The sequence below is a fragment of the Homo sapiens genome, chromosome 14 (assembly GCF_000001405.40).
Source record: "Homo sapiens chromosome 14, GRCh38.p14 Primary Assembly".
NCBI classification, from domain to species: Eukaryota; Metazoa; Chordata; class Mammalia; order Primates; family Hominidae; genus Homo; species Homo sapiens.
In genome coordinates this window covers 101,771,212-101,793,454 of record NC_000014.9, presented here as the reverse complement: position 1 = coordinate 101,793,454, position 22,243 = coordinate 101,771,212, and the positions used below count along the sequence as shown (strand labels likewise).

The window sequence follows — 22,243 nt, the reverse complement described above, 5'->3', positions numbered from 1 at the left end:
GAAGGGGCCAGCTAGTTCCCACACCCACGCAGTCCAGTTCCTGCCCGTGAAGTGGTCAGGGAAATATCCTGCTTCAAAAACACTATAATGTTAAAATTAAATTTAAAATATCAATATGAATGTACGATTCAGAAAATTTATATCCTCGCTCCCTCCATTGAAAGCATTTAAAAGTAATGTCAGACCAGTAGCAATAAACATCCCTCTGACCCAGATTTTGGTTGCTAATATATTTACTACTGAAAGGAACCAGGGCTCTTTGAAAAATAGCTGATTTGGCCAGGTGTGGTGGCTCATGCCTGTAATCTCAGCACTTTGGGAGGCCGAGGTGGGTGGATCACTTGAGGTCAGGAGTTTGAGACCAGCCTGGCCAACATAGTGAAACCCCATATTTACAAAAAATATAAAAATTAGCTGGGCATGGTGGCACACGCCTGTAATCCTAGCTACTTGGGAGGCTGAGGCAGGAGAATCATTTGAATGTGGGAGGCGGAGGCTGCAGGGAGCCAAGATTGCACCACTGCACTCCAGCATGGATGAGACCATGAGACTGTCTCAAAAAAAAAAAAAAGAAAAGAAAAATGGCTGATTTGAAGTCTGGGGAAGAGAAGGTATTAAATGAGCCCAAGGGATGTCTCACTGTGTCAGAAATCAAGGAATCAAAAATAAATGAGGCTATGTAAAAAAACAAAAACAAACAAAAAAACACACGAGCTACCCTAAAGGGCACTTAATGATTGCAATTATGCCATCTGAACACCAGAAAGACTAATGCTTTTGGTACATGAAAACACACTGAAATCAACAATATATTAGTCCACAATGATATTAAAACAAAGAGAAAGCTAGAAAAAAGCTTCAGCTGTCACCATTAGAGGGAACTGGTAATAAAAGACAAAGAATTAAGCTTATCCTTCTTTTTCAGTAGGAGCTCCATTTCAAGATAACCAAGTATCTCTGGTTGGTAAGAAAAATCACTGCTTTCAGAAGAACGTTAGAGTAAATGTTGAATTCGCTAGTGAAACTGAAACTACTGACTCAGGCAAGGATTATCAACTGTTGTTCAAGACATTAGCACATGGTTGACAGGGAATACACATTGGTAGGATGCCAAAATATACACTGCAGACTATTACTAGTACTTTTTGAATTGTAAAGGGAAATATGTAATTGTTCAATAGAGATATCAATCTGTCATCAACTGAATTCACTAGTAAAACTGAAAATTTAGCATCACTTCTGATGATAGGCAACCAGAGGCTATGCATCTCTCACAATAATGTCACTATCTCCTAAGTTATAAAGCGTTGCCTCTGATGTATTTCAGCCAAAAAAGGTTTCCATTTACAGGAACCGCAGTGGGGTAAGTGGGATATATTGCAGAACAACTGGGTCGGTTGATTTAACAAACCAGTGTTGTGGTTTAAGGCACTCCCAGATTGGCAGTGCCTCCAGGTGTCTGGCAGAGCAAAAACAAATCCCTATTGAAGAAGACACTTTGATTCTAGGTTTCAATTTATTTCACATATCTGAATACAATGACCAATATACAATAAAAAAAATCAGGTACACAAGGAAATAAGACATCATGAACAAAATGTGTCAAACACCTCAGATACTAGTGTGACCTGACGCAGGCTATAAAACAGCTGCGTTTACTATACTTATTTAGTATACTATACTAAACTTGTATACCATACAAGTTTTGATGGTATGTTCAAGAGAATAGGAAAATATTTTAAAATGGCACTGCAGACTGAAAAAAGAACCAAACAGAACTTTCATAAATGAAAAAAAAAACCCTGAAATTAAAAGCTCAAAAGAAGGGTTTGACACATATAGACAAATCTGAAGATTTACAACGAATAACAAAAATTGAGAATAAGCGTTTCAAAACTTTCGTATCAACTTAACAGGGTAATCTTATGTCTACTGACTATAATAATAAAAACACTATTTTATACACAGTGTATTTTGTACTTCACTTCTGTAATAATTTATTTTTACTGTATTTTATTTTCTGTTAAAATAAAGGACTCATATCTGGGAAAACATACTGTTACAATTCAACAAGAAGAAGACAACCAACTTAAAAAAAGACATCTCATCAAAGAAGAGAGACAAATGGCTAACAGGCATATGAAAAGATGCTTAAAATTTCCAGTCATTGGGGAAAGGCCAATGGAAACCACAGTGAGACACCATTACACACCCACAAGAATTAAGCTATAATCGAAAAGACAATAATAGATATTGGCAAGAATGTGGCCACATCAGAGCCCTCATACATTGTTGGTGGAAATGTAAAACAGTACAACCACTTTGGAAAACAGTTTGGCAGTTTCTTTTTCTTTTCTTTTCTTTTTTCTTTTTTTGAGACGGAGTCTTGCTCTGTTGCCCAGGCTGGAGTGCAGTGGTGTGATCTCGGCTCACTGCAACCTCCACTTCCCAGGTTCAAGCAATTCTCCTGCCTCAGCCTCCCGAGTAGCTGGGGCTACAAGCGAGTGCCACCATGCTCAGCTGATTTTTTGTATTTTTAGTAAAGATGGAGTTTCACCGTGTTAGCCAGGATGGCCTTGATCTCCTGACCTCATGATCCGCCCGCCTCGGCCTCCCGAAGTGCTGGGATTACAGGCGTGAGCCACGGTGCCCAGCCAACAGTTTCTTAACAAGCTAAACATAAATTTACCACACAAGCCAGGAATTCCACTCCTAGGTATCTACTCAAGAGAAATGAAATATCTGCTCGCACAGACTTCTATGCAAATGTTCACAGCAGCACTGTTACTCATACCAGCTAAGAAACAGCCCAAATGTCCATTAACTGGTGAACGGATAAACAAAATGTGGTGTATCCATCTGACTGAATATGATGCGGCATTAAAAAGAAACAACACAGATGAACCTCAAAAACCTTACAGCAGGTGTAAAAGACTACCTATGGTATGACTTCGCTTATATGAAGTGTCCGGAAGAAAGTAAGTCTAGAGACAGAAAGCAGATCAGTGGGTGCCTGCAGCTGGGGCCCGGAGGGGAACTTAATGGTGAATGGCACGAGGTAACTTTTGGAGGCAGATGGAAACATTCTAAAACAGAATTGTGGTGACGGTTGCACAACTCTATGTATTTGCTAAAATAACTAAATTTTCCAGTTACAATGGGTGAGTTTTAGGATATGTAAATTATGCCTCAACTCTAAAAAAGAAAAACCTATGACTTGAAAAGTTAGGAAAAAATAAAATCTAGGGATAGGGCTGAAGGTTACACTCAGAATGAATACGTGGCTTTAAATTCTTTTATTATTAAAAAGCAAACTAAAAATAAGTCAACTCTCTATTCAACTTAATAAATGAAGAAAAGGTTAAAATAAAAGACATAGGATAATTAAAGATAAAAGTACAGATGAATAATACTGAACACAAACAGAACAGTCAAAAGAATAAATGAACTTATAAGGAGACATAACCGCCACTGATAAGGAAGAGATTAAAAGGTGCATTAAACAATGACCATGTACTAGTTAACAGACCCCCCTTTCTAAATGGACGCACTGTGCTAAGAAGCTACAGACGTTTCATAGAGAAAAGCAACAGGCCCACTGAGTTCCAAGTCAAACTTTCAACCCTATTTCATGGACACATTCCACATTTTATTGTTTCTGAAATCCGGGTCCATCTCATTATCCCTGTCATAAGGTGGCAGTGTGAGGGAGCTGCGGGAAAAGCTGCTCCAGGCCACCCCAGGAACCTTCACAAAGTGCTGGTGACAACAAATCTTAGACAGGACAAAATACAGGTTTATGAAAAAGAACAAAACTACAGACCAGCTCCATGTAGTAAATACGGAAGCAAATATTCTAAAGAAAATTAGTTCCAAACACTATGAAAATACACTGTGACAAAACTGACAAAATGCAAAGATATTTCAAAACCAGAAAAATCTGTCAACACAGCAATTATAATAGTAACATCTTAAAGAGGAAAATCATATGGCATTTGACCAAATTCAGCAGCAGTACCCACCCAGCATGCACTGGCATGGCGCCAACCAGCCTGCATGGGTCCGGGAAGAGTCCTGTGAGCTTGGACTCCGGAGCACCAGCGGCCTTGCAAAGGCTGCTTACCAGAAACCAAGAGCCACTTTCCCATCAACTTAGGAAACGCTGAAGCCATTTACTGAAATGGGAGAAAACAGGAATGCCTGCTATCACCTCTGTTCCAGGTTTTATTGGTCCTTCTTAGTGGCAGAATAAAATTAAAATAACTAGTCTATGTTGGCATAAATAGTGGAAGAGAGATAAAAGAATCTATTGCAAACAACAGGACTATATATGCAGACTGTAGTGGAAAAATTAATTAAGACTAATACGAAAATGTGGTAAGGTGACGGCAAAAGAAAATATTTAAAAACCAATAGCTCTGCATGAGATTAACAAAAACCAATTAGAAGTGGAAATGGGAAAAAATATAACCCAGTCACAAGTGTGACAAAAGCTATAGAGTATTTAGAAATAAATTTACTGGAAAGTTAGAGATTTACAAGAAAACCATAAAATTTTATAAGTCAGAAAACAAGACCCAGAAAAATGGGGGATATATACCATCTTCCTAGATGGAAAAAAGGTATCAATTTTCACCAAATTAATATATAACTTTAATTCCAATCAATTATTATTTTTCTGAACTAGGTGAAATTATTTTAGTATATATACAGAGGCATTAATGTTTTAGAACAGCCAAGAGAGAATTATCAAACAAGACCAGTGAGGGGAACTGGCTTGATACATGTGAAATTCTCCTGGATATGTGGATTTACTATGGAGAATTTACCATTTTGGGGAAAAGTGAAAATGTAAGCGTCAGTGGAAGTATATTGCATGCCATTCTTACTAGGTATAATGAAAAACGAAGGAAACGGAGGTTGAGAATAGAAAACAGATGTAGAACAGATGTAGAAAGAGGCTTGTGCAGCGACTCCTCAGAAGAGGTAAAGGAAGTATGCTAGAGGCCGGCACACACCGGTACTTGCATGGGCTCTGCCCCGCGCATGGAATAATATACGGCGACAAAACTGACAAATGCAAAGATGGTTCAAAACCAGAAAAATCTATCAACACAGCAATTATAATCTTAACATCTTAAGGAGAAAAATCATATGGCATTTGACCAAATTCAGCAGCAGTACACACCCAGCATGCACTGGCTGAGGCGGGGCATGCATGGAAAAATGGGGCACACGGCCAACCTTCTGTACCATGGCAGATCCAAGCCCCAGCTGTGATGGGCATTAGGGGCAGGGCTTGGGACATGAAGGCCCAACAGTGGTTATACAAAGCCTTTTCCCTCCCTCTGACTCTGGGCCTCCGGAGGGTACTGGAAGGAGGAGTTGATACCTATCCCTTTCCTTGCTGTCTCACCAATGGGTTGCTCACTCCAGGAGAATAGGGGCTTGGTTTTGTGTAATTCTGTACCCCTAGTACCTAGAATAGCTTTCACAGGCGCTCAACACATATTTGCTGAATGAATGAATAGCATGAGAAAGGTATATCCTATTTGGGAAGAGGAAGACTAATAATAAAAAATGACTTAGCATGCATATTATCTACCACAAAGGTAAACCAAATATAAGCCAAATACAAGCTCTAGAAAATGCAAGCGAGAACCTGGATTTTTTTTTTTTTTTTTTTTTGAGATGGAGTCTCGCTCTGTCGCCCAGGCTGGAGTGCAGTGGCACGATCTCAGCTCACTGCAAGCTCTGCCTCCCGGGTTCACGCCATTCTCCCGCCTCAGCCTCCCAAGTAGCTGGGACTACAGGCGCCCGCCACCACGCCTGGCTAATTTTGTTTTTGTATTTTTAGTAGAGACGGGGTTTCACCATGTTAGCCAGGATGGTCTTGATCTCCTGACCTCGTGATCCGCCCGCCTTGGCCTCCCAAAGTGCTGGGATTACAGGCATGAGCCACTGCGCCCGGCCGAGAACCTGGATTTCTAGCAAGTAGGGGGCAAGAAAATTCATCCACCCGTAAATCCACCCACCCATCCACCCACCCATAAATCCACCATCCACCCAGCCTCCCTTCCTCCCTTCCTCCTTCCACCTGGCAAATCTGCTATCTGCTTTACAGTGTGGAAAGCCTGGGAATACAGCTATAAACATGACAGACTGCCTGCTCTCACTGAGTTCATATTTACTTTTCTTTTTCCTGAGAACAAGATCTCAGTCTGTCATCCACGCTGAAGTGCAGTGGCACGATCATGGTTCACTGTAGCCTTGGCCTCCCAGGCTCAAGCAATCCTCCCACTTCAGCCTCCTGAGTAGCCGGGACCACAGGTGTGTGCCACCATGCCCAGCAAATTTTATTTTTTTGTAGAGACGGAGTCTCCCTATGTTGCCTAGGCTGGTCTCGAACTCCTGGGCTCAAGTGATCCTTCTGCCTCAGCCTCCTAAAGTGATGAGATTATAAGCGCGAGCCACTGGACTGGTTGCTGAATTAATATTCAGTGGAAATTAATTGTAAAAGATCCATTATTATAAATTTAAGGTATGAAAAATGTTATTTTATTTAGTATATCTGTCTTATATTTTAGTAATTATAAAGGTTTTAAGAGGTTCACATTTGACTTTACGGTCCTTACTCTGTTTTCCTTGATAAGGTTTTAAGCACCTCAATCTCAAAATCTAAAGGAAGACTTTTAGGGATTAAACAACCTGAGATGGAAAGAGATGGCTGTGTCATTTGGGGGGAAATTCAAAGTAAAGAGCACTTTTTCCTAATTTCATATAAGAAATGCTTGAGTAGAGGTAATCCTCAAATGACTCATAACAAAGCAAGTCCATAATGTACTATAGCTACAGTCCTTACTTTAGAAACATAGGGAACTTCTACTATAATTTTTACAATTACTGTACTTGGAGTAATTCCTTTCGGAATTGCTACAGTTCTAAGACAAACAAATGAAAATTAATTTAAAAGAAAAACTGGCTAGCTTAATACCATAAATAAAAAGATGTTCAGCTTTTCCTGTTTCCTTAGTGTATTATGCCTATACTGTGTTGTTAAACTTTTATCTTGAATAGCTCTGGAATTTAAAATGTTAATTGAGTAAGTAAGTTAATGACATTCAACCTAAAAAAAAAAAAACCCCTCAATACAGAAAAGATGACCCCACAAAATACAAACACAGCAAAGGAATAAATTAGCACACTATCAAAACATTGCTCCTTCACTCCAACAGCCACAATTTAACTTTTAAAAGACAAATAAAAATTACCTTTTAAGGATGGTAGTTTTTGAAGTTCTCTATTATTGCTTGCGCTAAACCTTGAAGAATTTTGCCGTTTGTCTTTCTTCACTATGGGCTGAGAGACTGGTACTTTTATTTTAGCAGATACTGTAGACGGGACAGCAACAAGGCTGTTTTTCCTGACGGAAATTTGCTTCCAAAACAAAAACAAAAACAAATGAATATGTACAATGGTTGTATTTTGTAGCACTATTAAAATATAGAAAAACATATACATGAGTCTTACTCTGGGGCATTCCCCTTCACTCCATGGAAGACATCATTCCTTAGAGTGGCTGGAGTATGGGGCTTATGTCCCACCTTCAGCAATATTAGACTGAAAGATTCAAAGATGCCTAATTTCTCGTATCTTCCTTCAAACTTTTGATTGCTAAATATTTACCACATAGGTTGATGTGGTAGACTAAATAATGACGCCTAAAGATGTCCACATCCTAATTCCTGGAACTGGTGAATATGGGACCTTGCTTGGCGACAGGGACTCTGCAGATGGGATTCAGTTAAGAATCTTGAGATGGGACGATGATTCTGGATCATCCAGGTGGGTCCAAGGGAATCACACAGGTCATTACAAGAGGGAGGCAGGAGGGAGACAAGAGAAGGCAATGGGACAATGAAAGCAGGGGTCAGAGAGAGATGTGAAGATGCTACATGGCTGGGTTGGAAGATGCAGGGAAGTGGCCATGAACCAAGGCAGGCAGGTGGCCTCTAGAAGGTGGGAAAGGCTGGAAATAGATTCTCCTCTAGAACCTCCAGAGCCATCACGACCCTGCTGACACCTTCATTTTGGCCTCATTTCAGACCTACATGCCAGAACGGTAACATAGTAAGTTTATGCTCTTTGGAGCCACTGCATGTGTAACTTGTACAGTGGTGCAAGGAGATGAATACGGCTGAGTATCTCACAAAATGCTAGGTGTTCCCTGCTGGCTCACCACTCAGTCTTGAACACCCAAAGCAGGCCATCTGAGTGCCTCCCCTTGAGCCCCAGGAAACGCTCCGCTGGAGCTGTTCTGCTGCCATTGTCCTAGGCTCCTGGTGTGCGTGCTCATTCCCAGGCTGCACCATAGCTCCAGGGCTGGTCAACACCCCTGCAGCCAACCTGCAACGCTGCCAACTGAACTACTCAGCAGAGGTGGAGAAGAGTCTGAAGATGCACGAAGCAGAGGAACCAGGGGTCCCCTGTCATCCACAGAGGCCAAAGGAGCTCACCAAGGGGGCCCGTGGAGTTCAGCTGTGCTCTGGGCCCCCCAGCTGAAGGGCTCTCTAGGTAGCAAGCAGTGACCTGGCCCACAGCTGTTTGCTGCGACCACTATCCAGCAGTGACAGCCAACAGCTGCTGTGTCCACCGTCAAGATGATTTACATAATGTGCTCGTTGCCCACCCTTCTTTCTGCCCAAAGAAAGGGAGTCTGTGTCTGCATATGTGCTCTTTAAAAAGGCTGTCACTCTCTGAGACAGTTTGCTTCTGTGTCCCCACCCAAATCTCATCTCAAATTGTAATCCCCACGAGTCAAGGGAGGGACCTGGTGGGAGGTGACTGGATTGTGGGGGCAGTTTCCCCCCTGCTGTTCTTGTGATAGTGAGTGAGTTCTCAGGAGATCTGATGACTTACAAGTGTTTGGCAGTTCCCCCCCCCCACTTTCTCTCTCTCTCCTGCTGCCGTGTAAGAAGTGCCTTGCTTCCCCTTCACCTTCTGCCATGATGGTAAGTTTCCTGAGGCCTCCCCAGCTAGGTGAAACTGTGAGTCAATTACACATCTTTTGTTTATAAATTACCCAATCTCAGGTAGTTTTTTATAGCTGTGTGAAAATGAACTAATATAGACTCCATCCTGGAGACACAAACCTACCTAGTTTAGGGCCAAGGAGAGCAGACACACCAACTCCAGCCCCAGACATTAATTTGTTCTCATCCTTGAATGAAATTTTCATAAGCAATAAGAGCTGCTTTACTTTCTACTAAGGTGCTTAGGAATGCCTGGAAAGAGCTGTCTCATGTGACAGACTGCCCGGAACAGCAGGCAGCCTCTGACCTGGGAGGCAGGGGTCTCGGTTCCCTTCTCTCCCTCAGTCTGTGGCTTTTTCCTCAAAAGGTACTTTCTTGGGCTCTGAGCTTGACATCTGTCAATCTTTTGCCATGAAAGCCTGGGTCTTTCTTCCCTAAAAGCCCCTCCATAACCAGCTCCTCCACAGAATCCCCCAGTTAGACAGGTTTCTGCTCCGCCTTCTCTGGGTGCCCCTGGCATTGATTCCACAGTCTGGAGGAGCTGCTCCTAGGAGCTGTCCTGGCTTTAGATGTTCAGTCACATACGTGCGTGTTCCAGTAGATAATGTTCTCCATCTCCTTTTTATTTCACTATAGTGCCAGCCCAGCACTCACAGCGAGGACCTTGGGTAGAGGCCAATGACAGGGCTCCCCCGTGGCTTCTGACCCCCGCTGGAAGGTCGGCTGCATGGAAGGTGGCCCAGCCTAGGGGGCTGGGAAGCAAGTCCATGGGTCTTGACTGCCATGGGGACACACTGAGGATAGGCTTCTGCCCCTGAGAAAATAAGTCAGCCCTCGGGCACAGTTCCAAAGGGGCCCTTGGCCTTTTGGCCACCATGCCCCACTCCATTCTCTCGTCAGGGCCAAGACCAGAGAGAGGAGCCAGTCTGCCTGCTCTGCCCAGCCCAGCCACCAGCTGCCTGCCCCACAACACCGTGACCTGGTGCTCCCACCAACTCTGAGGGGGCATCTTCCTCCCCGATGGGACATCAGCTCAGGAGGGCAGGGCCTCTCCGCATGAGACATTGTCTGTCCCTGGGAAGGTGAGGTGATCTCCCTGAGGAAGGAGCTGCAGAGCTGCCCAAAGCAGATGCCACCAAGAACCTGGGCTCAGAGAGGGGGAGAAGGAGAGAGAGTGGGAGAGAGGGAGGGGGAAAGAGAGGGGGAGAAAGGGGGGGGAGAGAGAGAGGGGGAGGGGAGAAAGAGAAATGGGGAGAGAGGGAGGGGGAGGGGGAGAGGGGGAGAAGGGGGGAGAAAGAGAGAGGAGGAGAGAGAGAGGGGGAGGGGGAAAAAGAGGGGGTAGAGAGAAAAGAGGGGGAGAAAGAGAGAGGGGGAGAGGGACAAAGAGAGGAGGAGAGAGGGAGGAAGAGAAAGAGAGAGGGGAGGGGGAGGGGGAGGGGGAAGGGAGGGGGGAGAGGGAGAGAGGGGGGCAGAGAGGGAGGGGGAGAAAGAGAGAGGGAGAGGGAGGGGAGGGGGAAGGGGGAGAGGGCAGAGGGGGAGAAAGAGGGAGGGGAAGGGGGGAGGAGGAAAAGAGAGGGAGGAGAGAGGGAGGGGAAGGGGGAGAACAAGAGAGAAAGGGGAAAGAGAGGCAGGGGGAAGGGGAGAAAGAGAGAGGGGAGAGAGAGGGAGGGGAAGGGGGGAGAAAGAGAGAAAGTGGAAAGGGGGGGAGAAAGAGACAGAGGGGAGAGAGAGGGAAGGGGAGAAAGAGAGAGAGAAGGGGAGAGAGGGAGGGGAAGGGGGAGAGGGAGGGGAAGGGGGAGAGAGGGAGGGGAAGGGGGAGAGAGGGAGGGGAATGGGGAGAAAGGGGGGGAGAGAGAGGGAAGGGGAGAAAGAGAGAGGGAGGAGAGAGGGAGGGGGAGGGGGAGAGAGAAAGAGGAAAGAGAGGGAGGGGAAGGGGGAGAGGGAGCGGAAGGGGGAGAGAGGGAGGGGAAGGGGGAGAGAGGGAGGGGAATGGGGAGAAAGGGGGGGAGAGAGAGGGAAGGGGAGAAAGAGCCAGAGGGGAGAGAGAGGGAAGGGGAGAAAGAGAGAGAGAAGGGGAGAGAGGGAGGGGAAGGGGGAGAGGGAGGGGAAGGGGGAGAGAGGGAGGGGAAGGGGGAGAGAGGGAGGGGAATGGGGAGAAAGGGGGGGAGAGAGGGGGAAGGGGGAGAAAGAGAGAGGGAGGAGAGAGGGAGGGGGAGGGGGAGAGAGAAAGAGGAAAGAGAGGGAGGGGGAGGGGGAAAAAGAGAGAGGGGAGAGAGAGGGATGGGGAGGGGGAGGGGAAGAAGGGGGAGGGGGAGGGGGGAGGGGAAGAAAGGGTGGGGAGAGAGGGAGTGGGAGAGGGAGAAAGAGAGAAGGGGGAGAGAGGGAGGGAGGGAAGGAGGCACACAGGGAGAGAAGGATGAAGGGAATGAGGGAAGGAGAGAGAGAGGGCGAGGGGCTCCCTTGGGAGCAGCTGCCCAGAGCGGGTGGGCGCAGACGAGGTGGGAGCGGGAGCGGGTGCTAGGGCGGGCTCCTGGGTGCCGCTCCGGTACACCTGGCCACGGCCACGGCCACGGCTGGAGGATGAAGCCCCCGAGACGGGACGGAAAGGAAACGGGAGAGCGCGGTTCGCGGGCGGCCAAGCAGAGGGTTGGAGCGCGCAACGCAGGAGGCCAGATCGGCGTCCTCCGCTTCTTCCCCGGGTGGCCGGCTCCCCTCCTCCGGGCTCCGGGGCGAGGCAGCGGAGGCCGGGGCAAAGGCGGGACCCCGGCCTGGGGCCCATGCCGGAGGCTCCGGAGGCGGCCGGCGGGAGCTAAGGGTCTCCTTGGAAGGCCGGGACAGACAACACTCTTGAGAAAACGTGGTTGGGGCAGAGGGGTGCGTCAGGCGCCCAGGAAGGCGCAGGCTGGCAAGGGCAGGGGCGGGGAGGCTGGGGGGCGGCAGGAGGGCCCGGCGGGAGCCCACGCGGGTCTGCAGCGACAACAGGAGTGAGGTCGAGCCTGGCCCCACGCGCACAGCGCGCCTTGGCAGCCTAGCGGCTCAGGGGCCAAAGCCGCCAAGGTCGCTGTGCCACCGGGAGGCGCAGGGCGGGTTGAGGCTTCGGAGGGTGGGGAAGGTCTGAAGGGGTCCCTGAGGACAGAAGCCAGGGTCCCGGGAAATACGGCAGCTGTAAACAAGCCCTCCTCCTGGGCACCAGACACCACCAACACCGCTGGTTCGCTGGTTCGTGGACAGCCCGGTGGGGACCCTGCCGCAGCCCCGACACCCGGCTCCCTCCCTGCTCTGATGTCCCATAAACCTGCAAAGACTCCTCCAGTGGCGGCACCGCAAGGCACCTGTAGCTGGAGGGAGACGGCTAGGGAGGAAGGCTGGGGAGCGGCTGCCCCACGCTGCATTCCATGGTTCAGGCCGAGCTGGCGCATCCTTAGCTTACAGAGAGGAAAGCAAGGCTCAGGCTGTGGGGTGAGCGCCTGAAATCACCCAGTCAGTGCTGCAGCCAAGCCCCAGCCTCAGTCCCTGGACTCTGGGTCTGGGGTTGAGCCAAATGCTGGACCCCAACTTCCCCCTTACACCTCACACCGGAGCAATTCCATGCTCCAGTGCCTCTCAAAATCCTCCCTTTCTGCAATTTTATCGTAAACGGAACAAACTGCCACCACTTATGTGCCAAGGACTAAGTGATATGCCACTTAAGAAGTATTTTTAATGCCGGAAAGTCCAGCCTGAACCTGATCAAGCCCTGAGGTCTAACCACCAGTTCTTAGGAAAATACAAGAGAGAGAGGAGTGTGTTAACCAAAAGCAAAGCGATCTGGACGCAGGGAACCAGGGAACGTGGGGGAATGGCAGGAGGTGTCCTCCCGCAGCACCGGGCAGTCGAGCCACCACACTTCAGCCCAGGTGAGCCTCTGCTGTGGGCCCTGTTACATGCAAGCAGCCCCTCCCCCCAAGCGGCGACAACTAAGAGCGTCTCCAAACATTGCCAAATGTCCCTTGGGGGGCAAAATCACCCTTGGTTGACTATCATATCTCTCAAACGTATGGGAACAACCTGATTTAACAATTAAATTGCAAGGAGAAAAAGGAGAGGAGGAACCAGCACATATCACAACCTAGTGTAATGTGTGTACCTGATTTGGATCTCAGGACTCAATTCAATTCAGGACCCAAACCAACCAAATGAAAAAGGGAGGAGGGGAGGGGAGATTTAATGCTTACTCCTGAGAGTAAGGAATTGCAGTTAATATTTTTAGGTGAGGCAATCACGTTCTGGTTCTTGGAGTCCTTGTTGGAGGATACCACAGGTGGGACTTACAAATAAAATACGATGACTGAGATTTGCTTCAAAATAATGTAGTGTGAAGAGAGGGCCATGCATATGGAGGAGGAGGCCTGGATAAGACAAGATGGGTTGCAGTGGATGATGGCCAAGGCTGGGCAATGGGGACCTGGGGCTTCCCTATATGATTCCCTCGACTACTATGTATGTGAAAATAGTCCAAATGAACACGTTATTCCTCCCTGCATTAACCCCAGCCTCTATAGACCAGACAATCAGAACACCTTCCCTCATCTTTCTCCCAATCGTATTTTCAGTGTTGGTGGTACAGTGGTGAGCACAGCTGCCTCCAATCATATTTTCATACTGTTATTGGACTGACCTTTCTAAAGGTCCATCAGACCATTCCCCTGCTCACAAGATGCCAGTGGCTCCCCACTGCCTGCGGGAGAAAGTTCAAACTCCGTAGCATGGGGTTTGAGCTCAGCCGCTGTCTCCCCCACACTTATTTTTCCAGGACTCATCTCTCAATGTATGGGAGAGATGAGTCTCTCCTTTATTTCAGGAATGCTGGGCCACTCTCAGATTCTCAAATGTTCTCTGACCCTGCCCTGTTTCAATGCCTGTTTCTTCAGCATGAAATGCCCTCTTCCCGTTCCCAAACTCTCACCCCCACACAAAGCTTTTGATCTACTCAGCCTTCAGTTCTAGCTCAAATGCCATTCTCTTTAATGTTTTCCCCACTCATACACGCAGCCAGGCCCCACCATCTCCTCAGTGTTCTTAAGGGGGTTCCCTTACACTTCCATCAGGCTTGGAATCCCATGTCTGCTTCTACAAAGAGATTCTGAGCTTGTTGAGAGCATGGACACATCTCATGTCCCCGTTATCTGCCAACACTCAGGCAGGCTCCGGAGCTTGCTGCGTCTCCTTCACACAGTCACTGTCTCTCACGTCCTTAATTCCAGCCTTCACACAACCACTTCCATGCACACTTGATGTTCCAGCAATACCAAACTACTTGTCCTCCCAGACAAAACCTAGTTTTGTATGTCTTTTCAGATACTTTATTTTTATTTTTAATTTTTTTGAGACAGGGTCTGTCTGTCACTCAGGCTGGAGTGCAATTGCACAACCACAGCTCACTGCAACCTCAACCTGCTGGGCTCAAATGATTCTCCTCCCTCAGCCTCCTGAGTAGCTTAGTCTACAGGCACTCACCACCACATCTGGCTAATTTTTGTATTTTTTGTAGAGACAAGGTCTCACTATGTTGTCCAGGCAGGTCTTGAACTCCTAAGCTCAAGCAATCCAATCTGCTGTGGCCTCCCAAAAGTGCTAGGATTACAGGTGTGGTGAGCCACCGCACCCAGCCTTGGATCTTTTAAAAGTGCATCTGGCTCAAGGTAGTATGATACTGGCATAAGGACAGACATACAGATTGATGGAATAAAATTGAGAGCCAAGCCCATTCACCAGGGAAAGAACAGCGTCTTTAACAAATGATGCTGGGACAACTGGAGAGCCATATGGACAAGAATAAAGGTGGATCCCCCCTCACACCACAGGAAAAAAACGATTTCAACATGAATCACAAACCTAAACAGAAGAGCTGAAACCACACAACTCTTAGAAGAATACAAAGGTAAAGCTTCATGACCCTGGATTTGATAATGGTTTCTTAGCTATGACACCAAGGGTGCAAGCAACTAAAAAGAAAACAGATAAACCAGACTTCATAAAAATTAAACATTTTTGTGCAAAGGATACTATCAAGAAAGTGAAAAAACCCACAGAATGGGAGAACATATTTGCAAATTATATAAGGGTCTAGTATCCAGAATATGAAAAGAACTCTAACAACTCAATAACAAAAAGAAAACCCGATTAAAAAATGGGCAAAGGACTTGAACAGGCATTTCACCAAAAAAGATATACAAATGGCCAAACAAGCACATGAAAAGATGCTCACCACCTTTAGATGTTAGGTAAATGTAAATGAAAATTACAATGACATACTACTTCACACCTGCTGGGATACCTATTCTTTTTCAAACTGAAAAATAACTTGTTAGCATGGCCAGGCACCATGGCTCATGCCTCTAACCCCAGCACTTTGGGAGGCTGAGGCAGGAGGATTGCTTAAGCCCGTAAGTTCAAGACCAGTCTGGGCAATATAGTGAGACCCCTTTTCTACATTAAAAAAAAATAGCCAGGTATGGTGGCATGCACCTGTAGTCCCAGCTACTCAGGAAGCTGAGGCGAGAGGACAGCTTGAGCCCAGGAGTTCAAGGCTGCAGTGAGCCATCATTGTACCATCGCATTCCAGTCTAGGTGACAGAATGAGACCCTGTCTCAACAAAAAACAAGGGTCATAAAGGACGTGGAACTACAATTGGAACCCTTGTATATTGCTGGTGAGAATGTAAAATGGGGCAGCTGATATGGAAAACAGTTTGGTGGTTCTTCGGCAAGTTAAACATAAAATTACCATCCAAAGCCAGGTATGGTGGCTCAAGCTTGTAATCCCAGCACCTTGGGAGGCCGAGATGGGTGGATCACCTGAGGTCAGAAGTTTGAGACCAGCCTGGCCAACATGGTGAAACCCCATCCCTACTAAGAATACAAAAATTAGCCGGGCATGGTGGTGCTTGCCTGTAATCCCAGCTACTTGGGAGGCTGAGGCAGGAGAATCGCTTGAACCCAGGAGTTAGAGGTTGCAGTGAGCTGAGATGGCGCCACTATACTCCAGCCTGGGCAACAGAGCGAGACTCTGTCTTAAACACACAAACAAAAATGACCATCCATATGACCCAGCAATCTCACTCCTAGGCATATACCCAAAAGAACTGAAAACAAGTGTTCAAACAAAAATCGGTACACAATGTTCACAGCGCATTATTCACAATAGCCAAAAGGTAGAAACAACTCAAATATCCATCAACTGATGAAATGAAATGTGCTATATCCAAACAATAGAATATTAGCTATAAAAAGGAACGAGCGTTTGGGAGGCCGAGGCGGGCGGATCACGAGGTCAGGAGCTCGAGACCATCCTGGCCAACATGGTGAAACCCTGTCTCTACTAAAAATACAAAAATTAGCTGGGCATGGTGGTGTGCACCTGTAGTCCCAGCTACTCGGGAGGCTGAGGCAGGAGAATTGCTTGAACCCGGGAGGTGGAGGTTGCAGTGAGCCGAGATCACGCCATTGCACTCCAGCCTGGGCGACAGAGCAAGACTCCATCTCAAAAAAAAAAAAAAAAAGGGAATGAGGTATGACGCACGCTACAACATGGATGGACCTTGAAAGCATTCTGCGAAGTAAAGGAAGCCAGACACAGAAGGACAAATATTGCATGATTCCATTTCTATGAACTATTCAGAATCGGCACATCTACAGAGAGCAGACTGGTAGCTGCTAGAGGCTGGGGGAAGGGGAGTGAGGAGTGACTGCTGGTGGGAATGGGGCTTCCTTTTAGGGTGAGGAGGACTTTCTGGAATAGGTGGTGGAGAGGGCTGCACGACCCGCTGAGCATCCTTGAGTCTTCTGGGCTTATGGTGAGAACAGCAAGGGCCCCACGAAGACAGGGAGACACACACGCTTTGGGAGGATCAGCTGTTCTCAGTACAGAGAAGGCATTAGTGTTGGCTGAATAGGAAGTGAGAAACAACAGGTGTGCTTCCTCAGTTTAAGTGTTTACTCCTAAAATAAAAACTGGGTATCTATCTTAAAATGATAAGAAATCGCAGTAAAAAGGTATGATACTGTTTAGCGATCTGGTTTGGGCAACATCTAAAAAAAAAGGACTTGATTCTTCCCCTTTCGCCCTCTTCTGGAATGCTGGTTACAGGGAACTCACTCAGTGAGGGGAGAGATGACCTAGAATTTACTTTGGCCTCTTGATGTCTGGCTTAATGATGGGAAATTATTTTTCAAACTCAGTATTATCTGTCAAACCCAAATCAAAATAGTCGGCCCTTCCCTTCAGTAGAAGCCACTGAAAGTCGGTGGTCCCAGAGGGTTCCAAGCGAGCACTGTGGCCTCCACGTGTCTGAACAGTGGCTGCACACGAGCACCAGCTGCATTTTCTAGGAGGAAGGCGGGGGTGGAGTGGGGGGGGGGCACAATCTGAAATGCTATTTGAGACACTTGTCGGCCACTCAAATGGAAGCTACGGGAATAAAGAGGAAGTCGTTCCCTCCCCTTCCCAGAGCCTCTCCACTGAACAGACACGGGGTCCCTGGGGGAGGATGTGTCTTGCTGTGAGGATCTGGGATTCTGGAGTCTCTGGCTGGGGGAAGGAGGTGGTGGGGGTGTCTGGAGACAAGGAAAGATGAGGTGGCCAGTCCACATGGCAAGGCAAGGTGTTGCCCAGAAGGGCCTTGAAATTATGCAGGAGTTCAGGTTCCTAGCCAGGGTAGGTGGACTGCTGGCCCTGGGCCCAGCCCCACTGCCAGGCCCACAGGGAGGTACAGAGGCAAAGGGTGTTACCTGCCTCAGTGGTACATGGTCCTCTCCCAAGTCTTCCCAACAAGCATGGCTGCACTTCCTCAGGTAGAGGAAACAAGATGCCAGAGGTGTCCCTCACGCTCAGGGACAACGCCCCATTAGTTTCTAACAGAGACACAGCAAGCCCGAATGTCCAAGTGCCCTCACACCCCACAACCTTCCGTGCAGCCAGGCAACAGCACCCCAGTATATTGGGAGTAAAAGGCAATCTGTGCAGCAGATACATGGAAGTCTATTAGTTTCTCTACTTTGAAATATTTCATGGAAACAGCAAAATGGGCAACTGGATTTGTGACAAAGCCTCTCTCCTAGATGTTTTATCATATAAGGGATTTACCAAATGAAACAAGCAGCTCTTTCCCTTCATTTAAACACTGCAATTCTCAAAATTCACAACTAGATATAAGATATTTATTGTTCAGTTGGGCAGGGCCGAATCACTGATCTCTCAGTATCTCTTAGATGGTGAATAGAGTCAAACAAAAAAGATACCTCTTCCACAGACCATGGCTAGTACTGGTTTCAGATACAGGCCCAGGGACCAATACTAGCAGCTTCTCCAAGTGCTGAACCCGATTTGGATTCCAGTAGGCCGCGGCTGGGAAGCCACAGCCCATGAACCACATCTGGCCTCCTGGTTATTTTTGTAAATCAAGTTTTACTGGCATACACTCACGTCTGTTTATCCACCTGTTGTCTGTGGCTTCTCTCTTGCTGCAACAGCAGAGTTAAGTAGTTGCAGTAGAGACCACGCGCCCCCTGAAGCCTTGAATATTTACTATCTGGCCCTTTACAGAAAAAGGTTTACTGATTCTCGTGCCAGGACAACAATTTCTGGATGAGAGGAAGAAATAAAGGAAAACAGGACAGATTTCCCTGATCAAGGTCGATGATGCACTCACAATCAGCAAACCTCCTGAGCCTGCCTTACAAGTGAGAGTGAAGGAAGAGGCAAGTTACGACCTCCAGTAATAAAAAGATTTGCGGAGGCAGTCACTGGTGCATCTCAGCATAGCAATATTCAACAGATGCAACTTCCATCTGGCAACCACAAAGCAGCGTGGGGCTGGAGGGAGAAAGCAGGTGCTCTGTCCCTACAGAATCCCCCCGAGGCCACGCACTCAGAGACTGGGTATAGCAGAGAATAGGAGTGAGATATGCAGCTGAAAAGGAGATTGATGTTAGGTCTGAATACTGATCTCTCCATAGCCACCTTATCCCCACACACCTTCTCTGCAGAACATTGGTAAACTGAGTGGTTATGACAAGAAAAAGGGATTCTCCAAAGAAACCAGTCTGTCTAGGAAAAACTAAGGCTGCTAATGTAGGAGCTGGCACCTCAAAGCAAATTCTCTGCAGTTTAGTCTCTAGGGGCCAAAAGTCACAAGAGCCAGCTCCCAGCCAAGGCCTCTAAAGCAAGTGGTCAGATGACAAGCCCACCCACAGCCAGCTGTGCCAGTGCCTCATCTTTGCCTGTGTGAACAAAGAAACCCTTCATCTGAGAAGCAAAGTCTTCCAGTTGGTCTCCTTGTTCAGCTCTTGCCCCTCGTTCCCACATAGCAGCTAGGAAGATCCTCTTACTTCCCTACTCAAAACACCCCAGTGGCTTCCCATGACCCTCAGAATAAAAACTCAAAGCCCAACCAGACTCAGTGGTTCATGTCTGTAATCCCAGCACTTCGGAAGGCCGAGGTAGGAGGATCGCTTGAGGCCAGGAGTTTCAGACTAGCCTGGCTGACACAGTGAGACCCCTTCTCTACAAAAAAATCCAAATATCAGCTGAGCATGGTGGTGTGCACCTGTATCTCAGCCACTTGGGAGGCTGAGGAGGGAGGATTGCTTGAGCCCAGTAGTTCAAGGCTGCAGTGAGCTAGGACTGCACCACTGCACTCCAGCCTGGGCAACAGAGTGAGACCCTGTCTCTAAAAACAAAACCCCAAAACAACTCCCCCTCCCTGCCAAAATCCCAAAACCCTGTCTAGGCAGGCTGTTTATAAGATCTTACCCTACCTTGTCTGTGCTCGGCTCCCTACCTCCATCCCTCCTGCTCTGCCTACCCTCACTTTTCCTTAGTCAACTGAACACCTGGCAGTGGACACGGCAAACTCACTTCCTCCATGGGGCCTTTGCACTAGCTGCTGCCTCTGGCTGAATGAATATCTTGCCCTAGATCTTTGCACTGTGGCCTCCTTCTTGACATTCACATTTCACTTTTCATGTCATCTGCTTGGTGAGACCATCCTTGACCACCTGAAGCAGCCTCCCAATCTCCAGCAGAGGGGCTGCCAGAGGGTCCTGTCCACCAGTGGTGTGTGGAGCTATGTGAGTGGTTTTGGTTGTCATCATGGTATTGAGATCCCCAGGGCCATTGCTCTGCAAAGGTGAGACGCTCTCACGCCCAATGTCACTAGTGCCCCGCAGAAAACACCTGCAGCTCCACACTCCACTTCTGTGCCCTCACTGGAGGCAAACTCCACGAGTGCAGGAACTCTGCACCCGCAATGGTGCTCAGCACATGCCAGGTCTCAGAATGAACCTGCTGGATGACTGAGAATGAAGGAATCCCCTGGAGGGAAGCCGCAATGTCAGAGAAATCGGCCAAGATAAACAGGAACATGATACCGAGAGAGGGTATGATCCCTCCAGGGGACAGAAGGGGGACCTGACTCCAGAGCCCAGCCTCTGCCACATTGCACAGCTTCCGTGTTCTGGACAGTGGCCCCATTCATAATCAGCAGGACAAAGTGGCTGTGCTCTGTGAAGCAGGTCTGAGAATGGGAGGAAGGTGAAGGGAGAACCTTGATTTCCGTATTACTTTATTTTTTACTTATTTATTTTTTGAGGCGGAGTTGCATTCTGTCACCCAGGCTGGAGTGCAGTGGCGCAATCTTGGCTCACTGCAACCTCTGCCTCCTGGGTTTCAGGGATTCTCCTGCCTCAGCCTCCTGAATAGCTGGGACTGCAGGTGCATGCCACCACACTCGGCTTTTAAAAAAAATTTTTAATAGAGATGCGGTTTCACCATTTTGGCCAGGCTGGTCTCGAACTCCTGATCTTAGGTGATCCACCCGACTCGGCCTCCCAAAGTGCCAGGATTACAGGCGTGAGCCACTGCACCCAGCCGCATTACTTTATTTTTTAACCCAAAATAAATTTTGTGTTTTGAACCCAAAATAAATAAATAAATAAGAGAAAATGTCTATAAAGAAAGACTAGGAGGACAAAAGGTCGTGACTGCTCTTGGGTCTGTCCAAGTCCCGCTCCTATGGGCAATGGAGTCTTTCTCGTGTGGGTATCAGGTGTAGGCCAACCACAGACCAAGCAGTAGACAGGGCCTCCCTCTCGTCTCACCATGCATTCCCTCTTCTTCTTGCCCTCCTCTTTCCTTAATTTTATCTACTTCCTTCTCTTTTGCCAATATAAGTCTTCTCTTCCTTTAAATTTAACCTTAAATTTGATATTTCATATTAAGAAGATTGATAGGTAACAAAATAAGTTCAATTAAATTAAATACACTCCCATAAGAATTATTTTGGAAAATACTGGTAGGGTCTGAAGTAGCTCTGTCCAGCAGAACTTTCTGTGAAGCTGCAAATGTTCCACATCTGCTGGTCAACAGAGTAGCTGCTGGCCACATGTGGCTACTGAGCACTTGAAATGTGGCCCGTGCAACTGAGGGACTGAATTATTTACATAATTTTAATTTTCATTAATTTAAATTTAAATTTAAAATAGCCATATGCAGCAAACAACAAACATCTTGGCCAGGGCAGGTCTAACCCCTTCAGAGCCCCTTAGTAATTTGATATTACCACCGGGCCATGCCAGCCCTTGGTCAGAGCTAACACCTGCAGGCTGCAGGGTATCTGAAATTAATCTCTTGGGGGCCATTTTTGTGTTGTTGTTGAGATGGAGTCTCACTCTGTCACCCAGGCTGGAGTGCAGTGGTGTGATCTCAGCTCACTGCAACCTCTGCCGCCCAGGTTTTCAAGCAATTCTTATGCCTCAGCCTCCCGAGTAGCTGGGATTACAGATGCCTGCCACCAAGCCCAGCTAATTTTTGTAGTTTTAGTAGAGATAGGGTTTCACCATCTTGGCCAGGCTGGTCTTGACTCCTGACCTCATGATCCACCCGCCTGGGCCTCCCAAAGTGCTGGGATTACAGGCATGAGCCACCGTGCCCAGCTGCTCAATCTTATATTAAGGAAATATATACAAGATAGTGTGGTGGCACACACCTGTAATCCCAGCTACTTGGGAGGCTGAGGCAGGAGAATAGCTTGAACCCAGGAGGCGGAGGTTGTGGTGAGCCAAGATCGCACCACTGCACTCCAGCCTGGGCGACAGGGTGAGACTCTGTCTCAAAAAAATACACACACACACACACACACACACACACACACACACACACACGAGATGAAGAA

The 22,243-nt window shown here is 47.4% G+C and overlaps 1 protein-coding gene across 10 annotated transcripts in view, besides 2 other annotated features; it reads right to left on the bottom strand.

Moving 5' to 3' along the window:
- The window catches only part of PPP2R5C (protein phosphatase 2 regulatory subunit B'gamma), a 167,420-nt gene that overhangs the window by 134,538 nt on the left and 10,639 nt on the right, over positions 1 to 22,243 (bottom strand). For 6 of the 10 annotated variants that reach the window (XM_005267819.2, XM_005267824.2, XM_005267827.2 and 3 more), the window contains exon 3: positions 7,272 to 7,437. The exons of the other annotated variants lie outside the window; for them this stretch is intronic. In XM_005267819.2, coding sequence (XP_005267876.1) covers positions 7,272 to 7,437 — 166 coding nt within the window. The remainder of the gene's footprint in view (positions 1 to 7,271; positions 7,438 to 22,243) is intronic. 10 annotated transcript variants of the gene reach the window in all.
- Positions 2,857 to 2,926: an enhancer, noted in NCBI's record as "active region_9045". NCBI's record gives its function as "activates an Ori minimal core promoter by ATAC-STARR-seq in GM12878 lymphoblastoid cells {active_cell/tissue: GM12878}" and the evidence as "EXISTENCE:reporter gene assay evidence [ECO:0000049][PMID:35858748]".
- Positions 11,550 to 11,819: a silencer, noted in NCBI's record as "silent region_6103". NCBI's record gives its function as "represses an Ori minimal core promoter by ATAC-STARR-seq in GM12878 lymphoblastoid cells {active_cell/tissue: GM12878}" and the evidence as "EXISTENCE:reporter gene assay evidence [ECO:0000049][PMID:35858748]".